The 21608-nt window shown below is 33.2% G+C and overlaps 1 pseudogene; it reads left to right on the top strand.

Annotated features, from left to right (window-relative positions):
* The window catches only part of TARDBPP5 (TARDBP pseudogene 5), a 46702-nt pseudogene extending 25343 nt beyond the window's left edge, over nt 1-21359 (top strand).
* The last annotated feature ends 249 nt before the right edge of the window (nt 21360-21608 follow it).

Raw genomic sequence — 21608 nt, 5'->3', positions numbered from 1 at the left:
GTTCTATTTGCAAAGATCTTGCCTCCTTGGTTAGCTCTATTCCTAGGATTGCTTTTGTGTGGCTATTATCAGTGGGATTGCATTCTTGATTTGGTTCTTAGCTTGAACATCATTAGAGTATAGAAACGCTACTGATTTTTGTACATTGATTTTGTGTCTTGAAATTTCCTGAAGTTCTAGGAGCCTTTTGATGCAGTCTTCAGGGTTTTCTATATGCAGAACTATATCATCAGTGAAGAGAGATAATTTGGCTTCTTGTTCTATTTGCATACTTTTTATGTCTTCCACTTGCCTGGTTGCTCTGGCTAGGACTTCTAGTACTATGTTGAATAGGAGTGGTGAGATTGGGCATCCTTGTCTTGTTCCTTGTCTTAAGTAAAAGGCTTCCAACTTTTGCCTGTTCAGTATAATGTTGGCTGTGGGTTTCCCATGGAAGGCTGTTATTGTTTTGAAGTATATTCCTTCAATGCCTAGTCTGTTGAGAGTTTTTATCATGAAATAATGATGGATTTTATTGAAAGCTTTTTCTGCATCCATTGAGGTGATCATTTTTTAATTCTGATAAGATGGTAAATCACATTTATTGATTTGCATATGTTGAACAAACCTTGCATCTCAGGAATAAAGCCTGCTTCATCATGGAGAGTACCTGTACTATACTGAATTACTTTGGCACTCTGTATAAAATTAGTTGTCTGTGGGGGTCCAACTCTGGATGCTCTACTTTTACTCATTGATGTATTTGTTCATTCTTTTGCCAATACCATACTGTTTTGGTTATGAAAACTTTTTAATAATTTCTTGAAATAGAGTAGTTTGATTTGTCTATGATGCAATTTAATTATACTGTTTACAATAGTATATAGTACAACATACAGAATTATATACTGTATAGTGTGTTTATGTGGAAAGATATTGCAAGTTATTTGAGAGCATCAACATGATCTAGTGATTTGAAGGTTCTTATGCTAATGCTCTATTAGTAACACAAGAAACCATTTACTAGGGATGCATCTAGTCCTTTTAATGTATCTGTATTCATAAGCATCCATATGTTGGTTCACTCACTTTTACATCTTGATAGAAATCAGAGCTTTTGATGGAATAATGGCATGACATCACAAACATGGACAAAAGCAACATAAATCTTACCAATTTTGTTTTGCCTGGAAACAAAAATATTTTAAAATATACTTTGACTTGTGTTGAAAATAAAAACAAAAATGCAATTTAGAAAGAATATCCACTGGAAAACTAATTACTAAAATTTGCATATATAAATCTAAGTACATGTTATATATGCATGCATGCACTTTCACATGCCTCCTCCTTGTTAGATGTAAATGTAGATATTGCTGTTGCTTTTTAACAATTAAATTACCACAGATTGTAAAATTTGGGGGTGGGGGCACAGGCATGTCACATTGTAACCTATAAGAAGTATCATTTTATAAATTATTAATGGAATAGACCTAAGTCATTATAACAGTAATAATATAAAATTGTAACAAAAATACTGGTTTCTAAAATCAACTAAAATGCTATATGTAAATGAATCTTTCCTTGGTAGAAAGGACAACATATAAAAGTAGATTTGAAAATTCATAGTTTTATCATGTTAATTTTAAGTAAAGGAATATTGGAAGGAGGTATTTCCTTTACCTAGATATATAGTCTAGTTAGTCTAGTTGACTATATCTTTATCTATATATATTAGAAGCATATATACCTAGATCTACATCTAGATCTAGATCTATATATATTGGAATGATATATATCCTTCTAGTCAACTGGACTATTTAGGCTATATATCTAGATAGTCAAATTGACTATCTAGACTCTAAAGTAGTTTGGCACTGTGAAGATAAATTCTGTACAATTGTTTGCAGATGTATTATTTTTGTCAATAGTGTCTTACTATACATCTCTTTTATACCAAGTGTATTTTTAATAAAATGCTTAGTTCCTCCTAAGTCACATTTACTTTTGTTCTCTGTAAAGCAATCTGTTAATCATCAGGGATGCTTCCTGTGGAAGTGTTCTAAAGTATCCAGCCAACTTTTTTTTTATTTTTATTTTTTGTTTGTTTTTGAGAGGGAGTCTCGCTCTGTTGCCCAGGCTCCAGTGCAGTGGCGCAATCTCCACTCACTGCAAGCTCCGCCTCCCGAGTTCACACCATTCTCCTGCCTCAGCCTCTGGAGTAGCTGGGACTACAGGCGCCTGCCACCACGCCTGGCTAATTGTTTTTTGTATTTTTAGTAGAGACGGGGTTTCACCATGTTAGCCAGGATGGTCTCGATCTCCTGACCTCGTGATCCTCCCGCCTTGGCCTCCCAAAGTGGTGGGATTACAGGTGTGAGCCACCGCACCCGGCCCCAGCCAATTTTAAAAGGGAAGAATCACAGGTACAATTACAGTGAAAAATCTGAAACTGATGATGGTCTTAACCCACTACAACATCTGGAGTTTATTTTTTTAAATGGTCCAAACGACTACCACTTTTACATTTTAGCATTAGTATAGAGAAATATTAAGTTACAGATGGCATAGTTATTTTTATATATGACCAGAGATCTTTAATATATCATATTACATTGAAATGGTTCAGACATATGAGCTTCCCCAAACATAAAATTCATTATGTAATTCCTGGGTCATGTTCTCAGAGGTTAGCATAACATGGAGCTCAAGTATTATTAACCTTGAAACATAAGGACAATATGAAATATAAGGGAAATAAAGAGAAAATCAATTCTCTTTAAGAAACTTGGTACACTTGTCATATATTTTTTCTAAAAAATAATGCCTGTATTCCAATTAACTTTAATGTATTTCAGTATAATTACTGTAAAATTAAACAGATTTATAGTTAGATGCATAGATAGATATGACTATTTTCAGAAAGCATACTACCTTTCTGGGCTTTTATATTATATTATATATTTATTTATTAAAATACGGGCTTAAGGCAAGGCGTGGTGGCTCATGTCTGTAATCCCACCACTTTGGGAGGCTGAAGTGGGCAGATCACAAGGTCAAGAGATCGAGACCATCCTGACCAACATGGTGAAACCCCATCTCTACTAAAAACACAAAAATTAGCTGGGCATGGTGGTGCACGCCTGTAGTTCCAGCTACTCGGGAGGCTGAGGCAGGAGAATCACTTGAACCTGGGAGGTAGAGGTTGCAGTTAGCTGAGATGGTACCACTGCACTCCAGTCTGGTGACAGAGTGAGACTCAATCTCAAAAATAAAAATAAAAATAAATAAATAAAAAATACAGGCTTCAATATATATATATACGAAGAAAGAAAAGCTGCAAATCTTCTAGTAATCTTGATGATTAGTAAAATTGTAGATAAAACATAAAAATAAGTAATAATATAAAAACAGCAAAATAAAAAATATATAAATATAAAATAGTGAATCAATTAAATATTTAAATATAGCATATCAACAAAGGCATGAGTTGTTTCTTGAATACATTTAAAAAATTGATAAATCCCTGGGTAGATTACTCTAAAATCAATGAAATTGTTAAAATAATTCTTACTTTCAGTATAAAAGCCACAACACAGCCTACAAATATACAAAATTAATAATATTATGAATATTATGAACCTATGCTTATGATAAATTTGTCAACAAACTTAAAATGAAAAATTGCTTCAAAATACAATGTTATAAAATTTACAGAAATCATGAAAATATGCAATTACAAAATTAAGATAATTTAATCCATTATTAAGCTTTATTCATAAAAAAATCACCAGCAAAGTAAATTCACCATTGAATTATTTCAATCATTGAAAAAAGAAATAACACCAATCTTACCCCCAACTTCCCAGGTAATAAAAGAAAATTAAAAAAAAATTTGCAAGGTATTTTATAAATCCATCATAACCTTGAAACTAAAATCTGACAGACATTATAAAAAGACAAAAGTCAAATATCTATATGTACATATACTTATCTCATGGGTAAATATAGTAAATTCCTAAACAAACTCATGTAATATATAACAGGAGATTTATGAAAAGAAATGATATGTAAAAATGATAATCTATCAAGATCCATGGAATTTATTTCTCAAATTCATGCATGATATGAAATTTCAAAAATAAAGAAAAAAAGCTATGTAATTTTCTCAGTGAATTCAGAAGCCATCTGTACTGAAATAAATTTGTGTTAACTTTCAACAGAAGTGATCTAATTTCTTTTTGAATTTTTATGGGTACATATTATGTGTATATATTTATGGGGTACATTATTGCCTGTCTTCTGGATAAAAGCCGTTTTAACTGGGGTGAGATGATATCTCATTGTAGTTTTAATTTGCATTTATCTGATACTCAGTGCTGTTGGGTACCTTTGAATATACCTGTTTGCCATTTGTATTATTCTTGGAGAAATGTCTATTTAGATATTTTGCCTATTTATTAATTAGATTATTAGATTTTTTAACATAAAGTTGTTTGAGCTTCTTATAGATTCTGATTATTAATCCCTTGTCAGATAAATAGTTTGCAAATACTTTTTTTTCCCATTCTGTGAGTTGTATCTTCACTTTGTTGATTGTTTCCTTTGCTATGTAGAATCTTTTACCCTTGATGTGATTCCATTTGTCCATTTTTGCTTTGGTTGCCTGTGCTTTGGGGTATTACTCAAAAAATCTTTGCCCAGAGCAATGTCTTTCATAGTTTAGTAGTTGCAGGTCTTAGATTTCAGTCTTTAATTAATTTCGATTTTTTTTTGTACATGGTGAAAGTCTAGTTTCATTCTTCTGCATATGGAATATGCAGAATGTACATCATTCTTCTGCATATGGAATATGCAGAATGTACATCATTCTTCTGCATATGGGGTATTCAGTTTTCCCTGCACTATTTATTTAAGAGACTGTATTTTTCCCAATAAAGTCTCTTGGTACTTCTGTTTATATGAATTCACTGTTATGAATTTATTTCTGGCTTCTCTATTCTGTTCCATTGGTCTTTGTGTCTGCTTTTATGCCAGTACCATGCTGTTTGGTTACTATTGCACTGTAGTATAATTTGAAGTCAAGTAACATACTTCCTCTAGTTTTGTTCTTTTTGCTCAGGATGTTTTTGGCTGTTCTGGGTTTTTTCTGATTCCATATCAATTTTAGAATTATTTTTCTATTTCTCTTTTTTTGCTTTTTTCCATCTTTTATTTTAGATTCAAGGGTTTCATGTAGAGGTTTGTTACATGGGTAAATTGTGTCAGTTAATTTTGTCACTCAGGTAATCTGCATACTACTCGACAGTTTTTAAAACCTCACTCTCCTCCCATCCTCTGCCCATAAGTAGACCTTGGTGTCTATTGTTCCCTTCTTTGTGTTCATTTGTACCAAATATAAGTGAGAAAAGACAGTATTTGGTTTTATGTTTCTGCATTAATTCACTTAGGATAATGGCCTCCAGCTCCATCCATGTTGCTGAAAAGGATATTATTTCATTCTTTTTTATGGCTGTGTAGTATTCCATGGTGTATATGTACCACAGTTTCTTTATCTAGCCAACCACTGACGGACATTTATTAAATTGGCACAAATGTAATTGCCAACCCATAGGATGATTCAGTGTCTTCGCTATTGTGAACAGTGTTGCAATGAACATACACATGCGTGTGTCTTTATAATAGAACGACTTATATTCCTTTGGGTATATACCCAGTAATGGGATTACTAACTCGAATGGTAGTGCTGCCTTTAGCTCTTTGAGGAATCACCATAATGCTTTCCACAATGATTGGACTAATTTACATTCCCACCAACAGTGTATGAGTGTTTTCTTTTCTCCACAACCTCACCAGCATCTGTTTCTTTGGCTCTTTAGTAATAGCCATTGTGACTGGTGTCAGATGGTATCTCATTGTGGTTTTGATTTGAATTTCCCTAATGATTAATGATGTTGAGAACATTTTGTTATGCTTGTGCCTATGTGTATGTCTTCCCTTAAGAAGTATCTGTTCATGTCCTTTGCCTTTTTTATGGGGCTGTTTGTCTTTTGCTTGTTAATTTAAGTTCCTTATAGATTATGGGTTATTTGTTCTTCGTGGGATACATAGTTTGCAAATATTTTCTCCCATTCTGTGGGTTGTCTGTTTACTTTTGATTTTTTCTTTTGCTTTGCAGAAGTTATTTAATTGGGTCTCATTTCTCCATTTTTATTTCTGTTGCAATTGCTTTCGATGTCTTCATCACAAAGTCTTTGCCACGGCCAATATCCAGAATGGTATTTCCCAGGTTTTCTTCTAGAGATTTTATAGTTTTAGGTTTTACAACTAAGTCTTTACTCCATGTTGATTTTATTTTTGTATATGGTGAAAATTAGGGGTCCAGTTTCAATTTTCTGCATATGGCTAGCCATTTATCCAGCACAACTTATTGAACAGTGAATTTTTTTCCATTGATTTTTATTGTTGGCTTTGTTGAAGATCAGATAGTTGTAGTTGCATAATTTTGTTTCTGCATTCTCTATCGTGTTCCATTGGTTTAGGTGTTTGTTTGTAACAGTACCATACTACTTTGGTTAATGTAATCTTATAACATAGTTTGAATATGGGCAATGTGATGCCTCTGGCTTTACTGGTTTTGCTTAATATTGATTTGGCTATTTGGGCTCTTTTTTGGTTCCAAATAAATTTTAGAATAGTTTTTTTTTATTCTGTAAATATATCATTGGTAATTTTTGATAGAATTGCATTGAATCTATGAATGGCTTTGGGCAATATAGCCATTTTAATAATATTGATTCTTACTATCCATAAGCATGGAAAGTTTCTCCATTTGTTTGTGCCATCTCTGATTTCTTTCAACAGTGTTTTTAATTCTGATTTTAGACATCTTTCACCTCTCATGTTACCTGTATTCCCAGGTGTGTGTGTGTGTGTGTGTGTGTCTATTGTGAATGAGGTTGTGTTCTTGATCTGGCTCTCAGCTTTGCCATTATTGGTGTATAGATGCTGCTGATTTTTGCACCTTGATTCTTTATCCTAAAGCATGCTGAAGTCGTTTATCAAATGTAGGATTCCGGGTAGAAATTATATGGTTTTCTAAGTATAGAATCATATCATCTACAAAAAAAAGATGGTTTCACTTCCTTTCTTCCTATTTGGGTACTTTTTATTTATTTCTCTTACCAGATTGCTCCATCTTGGTCTTCTAGTACTATGTTAAATAGAAGTGGTGAGAATGGGCATCCTTGTCTGGTTCTAGTTCTCATGGGGAATGCTTCTAGCTTTTGCCCATTCAGTATGACAGTGGGTCTACCATAAATGGCTGTTCGTATTTTGAAGTATGTTTCTTTAATGCCTAGTCCTTTAGGGGTTTTCACATGAAGGGATGTTGGATTTTATCAAAAGCCTTTTCTGTTTCTATTGAGATCTTCCTTTGGTTTTTGTTTATAATTCTATTTATGTGATGAATCACATTTATAAGTTTGCTTATGTTAAACCAAACTTTAATTCTAGGAATAATGCCTATGCACTCATGTGAATTAGTTTTGTGATGTTCTTTTGGATTTGTTTTACAAGTATTTTATTGAGGATTTTTGCTTCCATGTTAATCAGAGATATTGGCTTTCTTTTTTATTGTGTCTTTTTTATAATATTTCTTTTTTTACTGTGCCTCTCCAGGTTTTGGTATCAGAATGATGCTGGCCTCATAGAAGGAGTTAGGGAGGAATCCCGCCTCCTTGATTTTTTGTAATCATTTCAATAGCATTGGTATCAGCTCTTCTTTTGTCTTCTGGTAGAATTTGGTTATGAATCCATCTGATCCAAGGCATTTTCAGGTTGGTAAGATTTTTTTTTAATTCATTCATTTTTTGAACTCATTATTGGTCTGTTTGGTTTTCAGTTTCTTCCTGATTCATCTTGAGAGGTTGTATGTTGTTAGGAATTTATCTATTACTTCTATGTTTTCCAGTTTGTATGCATGGAAGTGTTCATAATAGCTCCCAGTAAAATTTTTATATTTCTGTATTGTTGGTGGTAATGGTCCCTTTGTCATTTGTGATTGTGTTAATTTGTATCTTTTCCTCTTTCCTTATTAGTCTAGTTAGCACCCACCAAGCTAACACCACCTCCAATGCAACAATCTTATTTATTCTTTCAAATAACAAAGTTTTGCCTTTGTTGATCTTCTGTTTGTTTTTCTCATTTTCATTTCATTTAGTTCAGCTCTAATTTTGGACATCTATTTTCTTCTGCTAGCTATTGGGTTAGTTTGCTTTTGTTTTTCCAGTTCCTCTGGATGTGATTTTAGGTTGTTAATTTGAGATTTTCCTAACTTGTTGATGTGTATGTTTAGTGCTATAAACTTTCTTCTTAACAACGCTTTAGCTGTGTGCAAGAGATTGTGGTATGTCATATCTTTATTTTCATTAGTTTCAAGCAATTTTTTGATTTCTGCCTTGATTTCATTGTTCACCCAAAATTCATTCAGGACCAGATTGTTTAATTTCCATTTAATTTCACGGTTTTGAGAGATCTTCTTGGTACTAATTTTCATTTTTGTTGCACTGTGGTCTGTCAGTGTGTTTCGTATGATATCAAATTTTTTAAACTTGGTTGAGTTTTTTTATAGCTAAGTGTGTGGCCAATTTTAGAGCATATTCCATGGGCAGATAGTCAGAACTTATATTCTGTTGTTGTTGAGTGGAGTTTTCCACAGTTTTTTTTGTTTGTTTGTTTGTCTTAGATGGAGTCTTCCTCTGTCGCACAGGCTGGAGTGTAGTGGTGCAATCTCGGCTCACTGCAACCTTCACCTCCTGGGTTCAAGTGATTCTCCTACTTCAGCCTCCTGAGTAGCTGGGATTACAGATGCGCGCTACCATGCCCAGCTAATTTTTTGTATTTTTAGTAGAGACGGGTTTCACCATGTTGGCCAGGCTGGTCTCAAACTCCTGACCTCAAGTGATCTGCCCAACTTGGCCTTTCAAAGTGCTGGGACTACAGGCTTTAGCCACCGTACCTGGCTCATACATATTCTTAAGTCCATTTGATCATTTGATTAAGTGTAGAGTTTAGGTCCCAAATATCTTTTTATATATACATATATATGTGTGTGTGTGTATATATATATACACACATATATATAAATATATGCATATATAAATATATATACATATATAAATATATATACATATATAAATATATACATATAAATATATACACAAATATATACATATAAATATATATACACAAATATATACATATAAATATATATACACACGTACATTCATATATGTATATAAGATATAAGTATATATACATATATACTTACATATACAAATATATAAGATATACATATATATAAATATGTGTGTGTATGTGTGTGTGTGTATATATATATATATATATATGGTGTCTCATTCTGTTGCCCAGGATGGAGTGCAATGGCATAATCTTGGCTCACTGCAACCTCAACCCTACAGGTTCAAGCGATTCTTCTACCTCAGCCTCCCAGGTAGCTGGGAGTATAGGTGTGTGCCACCACGTCCAGATAAGTTTTGTATTTTTAGTAGAGACAGGGTATTGCCATGTTGGCCAGGATGATCTTAAACTCCTGATCTCTCAAGTGATCCACTTGCCTTGGCCTCCCAAAGTGCTGGGATTATAAACGTAAGCCACTGCGCCCAGCCAGGTCCCAAATATCTTTGATACTATTCTACCTTGATGATCTGTCTAATACTGTCAGTGGGGTATTGATTATGTAGTTGCTTCTTAGTCCTAATGGTCTATGTACCTAAGTAGGATATTGTGGTGGCTGGTAATGGTCTTTCTTTTCCATATTTAGCACTCCTTTATGAAACTCTTGTAAGGCAAGTCTAGTGGTAATAAATTTCCTTAGCATTTGCTTATCTAAAAAGGATTTTATTTCTCCTTTGCTTATGAAGCTTAGTTTGTCTGGAGATAAAATTCTTGGTTGGAATATCTTTTCTTTAGAGATGCTGAACATGGGCCTTCAACCTCTTCTGACTTCTAAGGTTTCTGCTGAAAGGTCCACTGTTAGCAAGATGGAATTCCGTCTGTAGGTGATGCATCCCTTCTCTCTAGCTTCCCTTAAGATTTTTTCTTTAGCATTGAGCCTGGAGAATCTGATGACTATTTGTTATGAAGATGATCATCTTCTATAGTATCTTGTAGGGGTTCTCTGAATTTCCTGTATTTGGATGTCGACACCTCTAGTGAGGTTGGTGAAACTTTCATGGACAGTATTATTAAATATATTTTCCAAATTGTTTACTCTCTCTTCCTGTCTTTCAGGGACACTAATGAGTCATAGGTTTGGTCTCTTTACATGATCTCATATTTGGGGGAGTTTTTCTTCCTTTTTAAAATCATTTTTTTCTTTATTTTAGTCTGAATGAGTTAAAGAACTGACCTTCAAGCTCTGAGATTTTTTTCCTCTGCTTCATCTATAGTCCTGTCAATAATTTTAATTGTGTTATGAAATTCTTGTAGTGAGATTTTTAGCTATATTAGATTTGTTGGATTATTTCTTAAAATCGTTATTTTGTCTTCCATTGCTTGAATTATTTAACTGGATTCTTTAGAATCCTTGGAATAGATTCAACTTTCTCCTAAATCCCAATGATCTTCATTGTCATCCTGATTCTGACTTCTGTGTCACTCATTTGAACCACTACATTCTGGTTATGAACCACTGCTGGGGACCTAGTGTTGTATTTGGTAGTCAAAGAGACACTCTGGCTTTTATTGTTACTAGAGTTCTTGTGCTGGCTCTTTCTCATCTGTGTAAGCTGACTTTCCTTTAACTGTCATGCAATTTTTGAGTAGTCAGTTGGCTCTGTTTCTGGATGCTTAGAGAGAGCCAAAGTTATTTGCAGTCTTTATTCTTGGTTGAATTATTGGCCTTGGTTTCACAGGGTAGTATAAAATAACAAAGTACTTTTGATGTTGAAGCTTGGGCTGCAATCCAGTAGATGGCATTTAAGTGTAATGGCTGTTAGACAGGCTCTTAACCACCCAGCTACTTTGTATTTCTTTGCATTTGCAACTCTGCTTTCTCTCAGTGCTCTGAGAGTCTGGATTCATCTCTTACTTAAGTGCTGATAACAGATCTTGGGGGTTGGAACTTCCGGGCCACAAACCACAGCACTGGTGTGTGCTTAGGCTTTTTGTTCCTTCCTCAGCTTGGGGGAAGAGGAACTTGGACTTTGGTAGTGGCAATGGCAGAAGGCTTTTTATTTGTCGACTAGGGCTCCACCCAAGAGAAATGACGAGGAATTGCCAATCAGAACGATCAGCCAGGAGTTGAGCAACTGTGTTTCAGGCCTAAGCAATAGGGCCCTGCCTGATGAAGAGCAGGGAGGGCAGGGAGCTTATGGGAAAGATAGTCTGACCTCTTCCCTGTAAGGCAGCTTCTGCATGCTGGAGGTAGGGCTAAAGTCAAAAATTAACCAATGGTAACAAGAACACCCCGTGGTTAGATATTGATTGGTCCTTAATACCATTCTCCAATAACAGAAAACAAAGCTCCTTGGATAAATGACTTATTTTAGGGCTGTGATATAGAATATACATGGTAAGTCTGGAGCATTTTGCAGCATGCCAGTAAGCAAAAACTTGCTCCCTCACTCATCCCCCAAAAACCCATAATCATAGTATTATGCCAAAGGGATACAAGGACCAAATGAATGATAATAATGGACAAATCTGGGGAAATTTGAACAGCAATATATGTAATATGGTATTAGATTGTACTACCTTATATTAATATGTTGCTATAAAGTAAATATCCATTAACCCATACTGACATAAAAAATGACTACAGAAAAATTTTTTAAAAAGATAGAATATTTACAAAACACAGCAGAAAAATTCTAAATAAAATATGTAGATATTCCCCACTCTAGGAGGTGAGTCATAACTTTCCACTCTTAAATGTGGACTGGGCATTGTGATTTCCTTCTTGAGTACAATATTAAAAAGGGGGAAGGAGAGAGTTATTTTAGAGTAAAAAAACCTGAAAAAATACTATTTCAGCCAATGGAATAAGGAGAATATAAAACATGAAAAGTCAAATTGATAGCATGTATCCTTGTTGTGACATGTTGAGTATGGCACTTTATCTCTGTGGCCTTCTTTACCAAATCCCTCATACCATTTAATCATGAGGAAAACATCAGAAAAATCCAAATTGTGGGGCATTCCATAAAACACTTCAGCAGTGTTCTTCCCCACCATCAAGGTCATCAAAAATATGAAAAGTGTGAAAAACTGTTACAGCCAAAATGAGGCTGAGATTTAACATAATTAAATGTAATGTGGCATCCTGGATAGGATCCTAGAACACAAAAATGGCCTTAGGTAAAAACTAAGGTAATTTGAAAAAGTACAAACTTTAATTAGTAATGATGTATGAGTATTGATTCATTAGCTGTGACAAATTTAGCATACTAATGTGATATGTTAACAATACAGAAAAACAAGTTTGGAGCATATGAGAACTCACAATGCTTTTGTAAATCTAAAACTATGATAAAATTAAGTTCATTTTAAAATGTAATATAATTTGTCATTTTAATAGACTTTAAATATTCACATAATTAAATCACAGTATTTAATGCATAAAAAAGTATTAGACAATATTCAGCATATATTCAAGTTAAAAATTCTTAGCTGAGTATGGTAGCTTTTGTCTGTAATCCCAGCATTTTGGAACGCTGAGGAGGGAGGATTTATTGAGTTCAGGAGTTGGAGACCAGCCTGGGCCTGGACAACATGGCAAGAAATTGTCTCTACAAATATATATATAAATATAAATAAATAAATAAATAAATATGTGTGTATATATAAATATATATGTATATATACACACATACACACACACACACACATATATAATATATATATAAATTAGTCAGGCAAGGTGACACATGCCTGTAATCCCAGATACATGGGATGCTGCTGAGGTGGGAGGATCGCTTGAGCCCAGAAGGTCAAGATTGCAGTAAGCTTTGTTCTTGCCACTGCATTCCAGCCTAGATGACAGAGCAAGACCCTGTCTCAAAATAAATAAATAAACAAAAAAGCAACAAGCTAAATAAATAAATAAATAAAACTTCTCAGCAAACATGGAATAGAATAAAATGTTCTTATTCTGACAAAAAGTATCTGAAACATACCTATAGTCAATGTTATATTTTACAGTAATAGATGAAATATTTTACCCCTAAGATCAGGCAGAAAGAAGGCTAGAATGTTCTGTCTCAGAACCTGTACTTAACATTTTGTTGAAAGTTTTAGCAGAGCATTAAGATAAAAAACAAAGAAAATAAATACAAGCATATTGGAAAGGAAGAAATAAAATTTCCCACATTACAGATGACAATACTAACCTAGAAAATCCTACATAATCTGCAAAAGAAAAGCCCTGAATTAGTAAATGAGTTTAGTAAATTCATAGCATACAATGTAAAAAAATGTATAAATACATCTTATTTCTATATACTAACACTGACAAGTGGAAAGGAAAATTTTTAAAAACACTATTAGTGATAGGCCAAAAATCTAAATGCTGAGATATAAGTAACAAAATATGTGCAGGATCTGTGAACTGAAAACAAGAAACCAAAGACCCAAATAAATAGAGAAATAAACCATATACATGGATTGAAGACTAAAAGTATTGAAGAAGTCAGCTCTCCCCAAATAAGTAGATAAATGCAATATGTTTTGTTCTGTAGATAAAATGCAATGACAATAAAATCAACTAAGGATTTCCTTTTTATTTATCAGCAAGCCATTCCCAAATTTCTAATTAACGGTGTATGAACTAAACTTGCTAAAACCTTTTGAGAAAGCAAAATATAGTCAAGCGACTCTCATAAGTGAATATCAAACAAACTGTAATGTTACAATAATCAAAACAGTATGGTATTAGCAAAGTATAGACACAAAGATTGATGTAACGGAATAGAGAATCCAGAAAAAAGACCCACAAAAAAACATGGTTAGTTGATTTTTGACAGTAGGGAAAAAGTATAGCAATGAAAATGGGTAGCATTTTCAATAACTTGTGCTAATTATATTTATATACAATTTTAGAAATTGCAAACTAATCTATAGTGCCAGAAAACAGATCAAGGATTGCCTTGTAATTAGAAAATATGGAAGGTTGCATCGTTGAAGAAGGATTGAGATGTTTGATGTTTTTCTTTTATTAATGATTTATTGGGGCATATGTCAAAGCTTAACACATTTTCTACTTTAAATATATATAGTCTGTTGCTAAAGCTATAAACATAAAAAATTATAATAAGCAAAAATATCTTCATATTGTTATTTTAGTTTATGGTATTCATTAATTGTAAACTTTTAAAGATATATTTTAGCATATATAATATTTTTGAAAAGAATAAAATAATTATTGGACAAATATCTATCAGACTGTTTATTCGTGCTTATACCCTTTAATCCTTATTATTTATCTTCGAGACAGTAACTTTATTTTAGACATAGAGTCAGAGGTTCAGATAAATTAAGCAACCAACTACAATTCACAAAACAATATCAGAAGATTTTTGAAAAATATTTAACTGAACTTTTCTAATTACATGTATATCTCCTTAAGAATATTGGTTATATATCTGCATAGAAAATCATCCATATTTGTTACTTGAAAATATCACTCTAACTTTAATGTGAAGAACATGCTGAAAGGATGTGGTGGAAACAATTGGTTGCAGGAAGACCAACTAGGAGGCTATTTCGTTACTCAACGGAGATGACTCAATTGTAGTATAGACTAGGATAGTGGAATTGAAGAGAAATGAACGTATCCAAAATATATTTGTAAGAAATCTCATTTATGCCTATCCTAGTGACTCCAAAAGAGCATAAGAAAGTGGTTTGCATTGTGAAGAACAAGTGAAATTATTAATAATAACATCAATCATCTTTGTTTAACTTATTTGGGATTATTGCAATATATTAAAGTTACAGCCTCTAAATATTGCTTTTCTCCACTCTATCACTTAATTTAACTTACATTTATTAAGATCCTGTCTTGGCCAGGCACAGTGGCTCACGCCTGTAATCCCAGCACTTTGGGAGGCTGAGGCAGGCAGATCACCTGAGGTCAGGAGTCTGAGACCAGCCTTACCAATATGGAGAAACCCCATCTCTGCTAAAAATGCAAAATTAGCTGGGCGTGGTGGCGTATGCCTGTGATCCCAGGTACTTGGGAGGCTGAAGCAAGAGAATTGCTTGAACCCGGGAGGCAGATGTTGCAGTTAGCCAAGATCACGCCATTGCACTCCAGCTTGGTCAACAAGAGGAAAACTCTGAAAAAAAAAAAAAAAAAAAAAAAAAAAAACCACCTATCTTATTTATACTACTTAGCTAAGAAAATATAATTAAAAGCATGTTATTGCATACAAAATCTTAACAAATACCAAATCCAAAAACATTATTATCTGTGTGAATTACAGTTATAAATTTAATATCAACACCATCTGCTTTTGGAAATTACAATGCCTCAATCCCCTTTTTGTGTGATTCCTGGATACAGCCTGCGAATGAGAGGCACTAGTGAGGTATTTGTGAAGTGGAAGAAAAAGGGGGACTGTTATCCTCGAGAGGCAGTTGTAGACCTAGGGAATGTTCAAACAGCTCCAGGAAAGCTCTTGTGAAGCAATTGTTTTAGTGCTGTGGCTACTAAGGTGGCTGGCAGGGGCTTCCTCAGAATCATCGGTGCCCATGGTAATGGGGGAGCTTTCAGTAGGTTCTTGATATTCAGAACAGCTGCTGTGGAAGACCTCTAGTAAAACCAGTTGATTTGTTGCAGCAGAATAAGCCCTTCGATAGCAGCTTGTGGCTTCCTTGATCTTTCCTTTGCTCAACTCTTACAGCAGGTAAGCTTCTAGTTCCCTGTGTGCAACCTTGCATACTGGGAATACAAATAGTACCTTCTCCTCCTTACTGGATCCCATCTAATACAGTATCTAATTTCAGAAATTGCCAGACTACATAAAGCCCAGATCAGATGCATTGTTTGGTGTTTATTGTGCTTTCTCTTCATTCAGTATACTTGTATAAAACTTCTACAAGTGTTTACTAGACTTTTGAAAAATATATAGAGTTCTTTCCATTAGACTTACAATTTTTAAGCACTGAGATCTTTAACTTTGGATTTACAGTCCCTAGCACTGCAGGGCCTCTGCCTATTATCAGCAAATGTTGTGTATATTAAATGATAATTCAAATGTTTATAGTGTTAAGTGAATTTATCTTCACCCAGTTATCTACTATTATGCTGTGTATTTTGCAAATAATAAAAAGGGTGTATGACAATACTCACATGGACTGGAAAAGTATAAAGATGTGTTTTATGTAAAATTTTATATTATCCCAGCCTGGAATATAATAAAAGAATCTCTGAAACAAATATTGGGGAATTAATGGTGTGAAGCCACAGCTTGATTATTTTCAACACGTCTAAAGTTTGAGTAACCCATAATAGTTTTTGATAACTTAAAAAAGCGGGAACTTCTTTTATTCACTTAAAAGAGAAATGTGAAATGAATTCCATGAAGAAAAAACTACCCGAGGGATATTCTGAATTCTGCTATATAAAAGGTTCACCCATTTTCCTTTTATTAGCTTTGTAGACAGAAATGCAAAATTAACTAACCATGAAATTCAACACCACACCAAACAGTAACAGATGCCTGACTTTGCAGTTGCTGGAGCAAAAACCAACGAATATATTTCAAGAATTGGAAGAGAGAACATTTTGCTTCCTTTGAAAATTCAAACATTTGCATGCTTTAAACATACCCATTTAGAAAATATTCATTTTAAATGTACACTCTAGATCATTGGTGCAATATAGGAAACATTTCAAAACTCATTGGAGCATTGATCATATGTCAGACTTGCTATTATACATTGTAGACAACAGTGATAATCACATATACTTTACTGAATATAATTAAATACCGCATCTTTATGTGTGTTATTGTAGATCCACCTGCAAGGACTACATCTCTTTCAGATGAGATATTAAAATTAAGCAAAAATTTTATCTGTATTTAATGTGATGATTAAAGTTTTTTTGTACAATCACAGAATTATCAATATTAATTCTATAAAGAATTATATTGCTGTTGTGCTTAATGTTCTTTTAGAATACTTAAACTTTGTATAAAAATAACTTTGAAATTAATGATAATAAATTTAGTTTATTTATAAATCAACTGCTGCCTTAAAAATAATATCATACTCTTTGATCCAGGTATCCAATTCTTAGGACCTTATTTTAAAGCCAGATATTTAAAAAATACAATAAGATTTATATACGAACATATTCAATTAAAGCCTAAAAATAAGCTAGGTATCCAGTGATAATGAAATGATTAAATATAATTTATCTGTATATTATACAATGCAGCCATAAGAATCTGTATTTTAGAAGTAACTACAAACCAACATCAGAGGAAATTCTTACATTACAATAATGAATCAAACAACAACAATTTTTAAGAGGTTATACAATATCACCTCCCACTTGAGTATTTAACACAAATTTACTAAGAAACACTTACATACACTCAAAATCTATAATTAGTATATATAAAGCAAAATGTTAACAGTGGTAATTTGTGAGAGTTGGGAAGATATGTAATAGGTCTTTTCTTTATCTCCCCCTTTGCACATTTCTGCCTCTGAAAATGTCCTATCATAAATATTTGCAACATCAAATTAAATTTAAATTATTTTAAATTTAAATTTGATTGCCATTGTTTTACAAATAGAACTTAGTTTGACCTGCCAATAATTTATAAAATAAGCCAGATATATACTATTTAGGGAATTTATTATTATATGAAATGTGTAAATGACATTATGATACCAGTAGTTATGTAAAATCCCGACTTAGAAATTAAGAGATCACACAATTTTTATATAATGATCAGGCATACAGCTTCATAATGCTGAAATATTTTCAAGCAAATTCAGTAAAATCATGCAAATATCAATTTCTTAATAATATGCTACAAGTAGAAATTCAATGGTATAAAAAATAGGCACATTACATGCTGTCATAGATATTATACTATGGTGAAGATTATATATTTTTTAATTTATATGATTTAAACATTTTAATAATCCAAAATATTATCAGACAGACTTAGGCACAGGAGAACTGAAAAAAAGTGTACCTATCCATAAATAAAAAGTAGAGTCTACTTTGTGAATCCTTCTGGGAAAAAGAAATGAGTTCAGACATGAAGGATAAATCAAATAAAAGAGCATTCTGAATAGAAAATAGCATTAGCTAAATGCAAAATAGAAATAGTAAGAATATAAGGACCTATGAAATCCCATCATTAGAATGAAGATGACATTGATAAAGTAACACAAGCTACTGCTAGAGAGCTTGGTGGGTTCTCTTCAGGCAAAGTCTTCTAAATCATCTGAAACACACTGTCTTTTTTTCTTGGGACAATGAGAATCCACTGCCTAGTATTTTTGCCTAGTAGAGAAGTGGCATTATCTGATGTTTTAAAAAGATTATTTTCTCTGCACTGTGCAGACTGGACCAAAGAAAGGGCAGGAAATAAATGTTATAAGATTACCAAAATAAATTGAGTGTGACGATACCTGGACTATGGTTGTATCAATAAAGATGGAGTGTCATAGGCAAATCTGTGAGATTTGGAGCTGATGGAGTAGGAGAAATCATGCATGACTCAGAGGCTTCAAGCTCGAGCAACTGGGTAAATCATGGTGCTATTTCTTAAAAAACTTAACAACAGATGTGGAGAAGATTTAGAAGAAGATAATAACTCCAGTTTAACATGTTCAACTTGATGTATCTTTGTGATATGTAAGTGGAGATTTTGAGTAGGTGATTTAATGCTTAGGAATGGAATTCTCAAAAATGTCTGTGTTAGGAATTTACAAGTATCACTGAAGATCAGACAAATTTCTCTTTATGGTCTTGGACATTCCTTACAACTTGCCATTCAAATAAAATTTCTTACTTTTCTTTCCTTGGAAAAAATATAAAATTAACAAACTGAATATTAAGTAAAATACACAAATGTGTTTCTTCCAAATAACTGTGTTTCTTTCAAATATTGCTACAAAGGAAATAATAATCATGTCAAAATTCTGATGCAAAGGTTGTCTTATACATGTTCAATTACAAATAAAGTCAGACAAGTATATCTCTTATAAATGAGATAGCCAGGTTTGGATGTTACCAATAAATATATCTCAAATATTAATAGAAGTATGTGATATTTGGGGACTGTTTTTTCTGACTAAGGACTATAATTATAAAATAGGTCAAACACTGTCCAATTTGAAACAGGTTCCAAGCCTTACCATCGGAGCTTGTCTATCAGTTACAGGTAAATCCCTCTTTGCACACCTGCTTATTAAAATTAGCTTTAGTTGTTTAGAAGCCAGGAGTATTTGGAAATCTCTGCTTCGATAGAATGCTGAAAGCAGTGCTGATAGGAATTTATTGAAGAAAAAGCAAATTGTGCATTTGAAACTCATTTGTTGGGAACAAAACAAACATACAAACTCCATTATGCAATATCTGGAAACATGCTTTTCATTATGCATAAAACAATCAGTGTAAATTCTATATCTTTATTAACGCTTCTACTTTATAAAACATAAATTCTTAGGAATTTTATTTTACCTGAGGACCCAAATGTTTTAGAATATTTCCTTATGAATTAAAGTTGGTTAAATATCAGTTTCTTGAAGCATACTTTCTACTTTCCAAAAATATATAGACAGGATTCCACTATTTCCAAACTTTAAATGTAATTGTGGAGAAGTCTAAGGTCAACCTGCTTTATTTACCCATGTCATCAACATGCTTTTCTTTTTCTCTCTCTGATAGCTTGTATTCTGTTCCAATATTTCAAAGCTCTACAGCTTCACCTGAATACGTCTTGATGTTGCCGATTCTCTGTGTGCTTTTCTTCCGAAACATTGTATTTCCTTTCTATCAACAGATTTTGTTTTCCATAGGAAGGAAGAAAGGAAAGAAGGAAGGAGAGAGGGAGGAGGGAGGGAGGGAATGAAGAAGGAAGGAAGGAAGGAAGGAAGGAAGGAAGGAAGGAAGGAAGGAAGGAGAAGTAAGGAAGGAAGGGAGGAAGGGAAGGGAAAGGGAGGATAGGAAAGGCAAAGGAAAGGGAAGGGAAGGGGAGGGAAGGGGAAGGGGAGCAAAGGGAAGGGAAGGAAAATGAGAAAGAGAGAGAGAAGGAAGGAAAGAAAGAAGGAAAGAAAAAGAACGAAAGAAAAAGAAAGAGAAAGAAAGAAAGGAGGGAAAGAAAGAAAGGAAAGAAAGAAAGAAAGAAAAAGAGAAAGAAAGAAAGGGAGGGAGGGAAGGAAGGAAGAGAGAAAGAAAAAAACATAAAAATAAAAAGAAAAAAATAATAAAAATGTTTCCTCTAGTTTGGTTTTTATTCTCATATATATATGACATATATGACATATATGATATATATGATATATGAGATATATATGATATATATGATATACATATAAAATTTGTTTGTATTTTATTCCATGCTTCGCTTACATGAGTCACTGTGATGTTGAATCACCCTTTTAGTCACCATTCCTGCTATACTCTAATCCCTCTCATCTGCATAATTTTTCCTCTCCCTAATTTATCTGTTTATCTCAGACCTTTCCTCCACATCATTAATTCATTCTCATGCTGTGTCTAGTGTCCTTTGTTTTGTTGTAGTATTTATTTATTTCTAAGTTCTATAATAGTTTTGCTCCAGTTGTACTGTTTTTCAACTTTTAATCTTTTATATCTCTTTTATATTGTATTTTATAGGCCTCAAATTCTCGTATATTCTACTTTTTAACCTTTAATATTACTGATAATATAAAATATTTATTGTGAAAAATTGTGTGTCTTTCTGTAGGTTGGATTGTTCATGTCTTTTTCATATTTTATATTACTTTTTAATTTTGCAATATTTTTGTGTGATCATTATATTTCTGTTTTTTCAAATCAGAGAGTAAGTGAATGTTTTTAATCTAATTCTATTTTGTTTTACCCCCAGATATTTTATTGGTGGACTGTCTTTCTTACTTTTACTATCATGACATGTTATTTGTACAATTACTTAAAATCACCAGTTTGAAGACTATGAGCTGATGGTCTTTATCCTCTTCTAATATAGCTTGAGGAGACTGGGCCAGAGAATGGGGAACTATTTGCACTTATTCTAGTCTTTGCTCAGCTGTCGGAGTCTCTTGGGGAAAGCATTTTTGTTTTGGAGTACTTATCGATAGTGGGTGCAACAATAAGCCCATGAACCTTTTCTGGACAACCATTCTCTTCTTCAAATTTACCTACCATCTTTCAGTCACCTTTTCATTCTATTTGCAGCTAGAATAAGGGTAAATAGGCAACAGTTAGGTATGTTTTTATTTTGGCCTTATCTGTTTTATAGTAATTTGTGTAATGCAAAGGTAGTTGCTTGCTCAAAATCACTCTATTGGTGGGACACATGGCTTATTTGAAGAAACGCAAGTCCGATGTGAATGGAAATCAGAGAAGGGAG

This window comes from Homo sapiens, chromosome 6 (assembly GCF_000001405.40).
Source record: "Homo sapiens chromosome 6, GRCh38.p14 Primary Assembly".
Classification (NCBI taxonomy): domain Eukaryota; kingdom Metazoa; phylum Chordata; class Mammalia; order Primates; family Hominidae; genus Homo; species Homo sapiens.
This window is presented reverse-complemented; position numbering and strand designations above follow the sequence as displayed.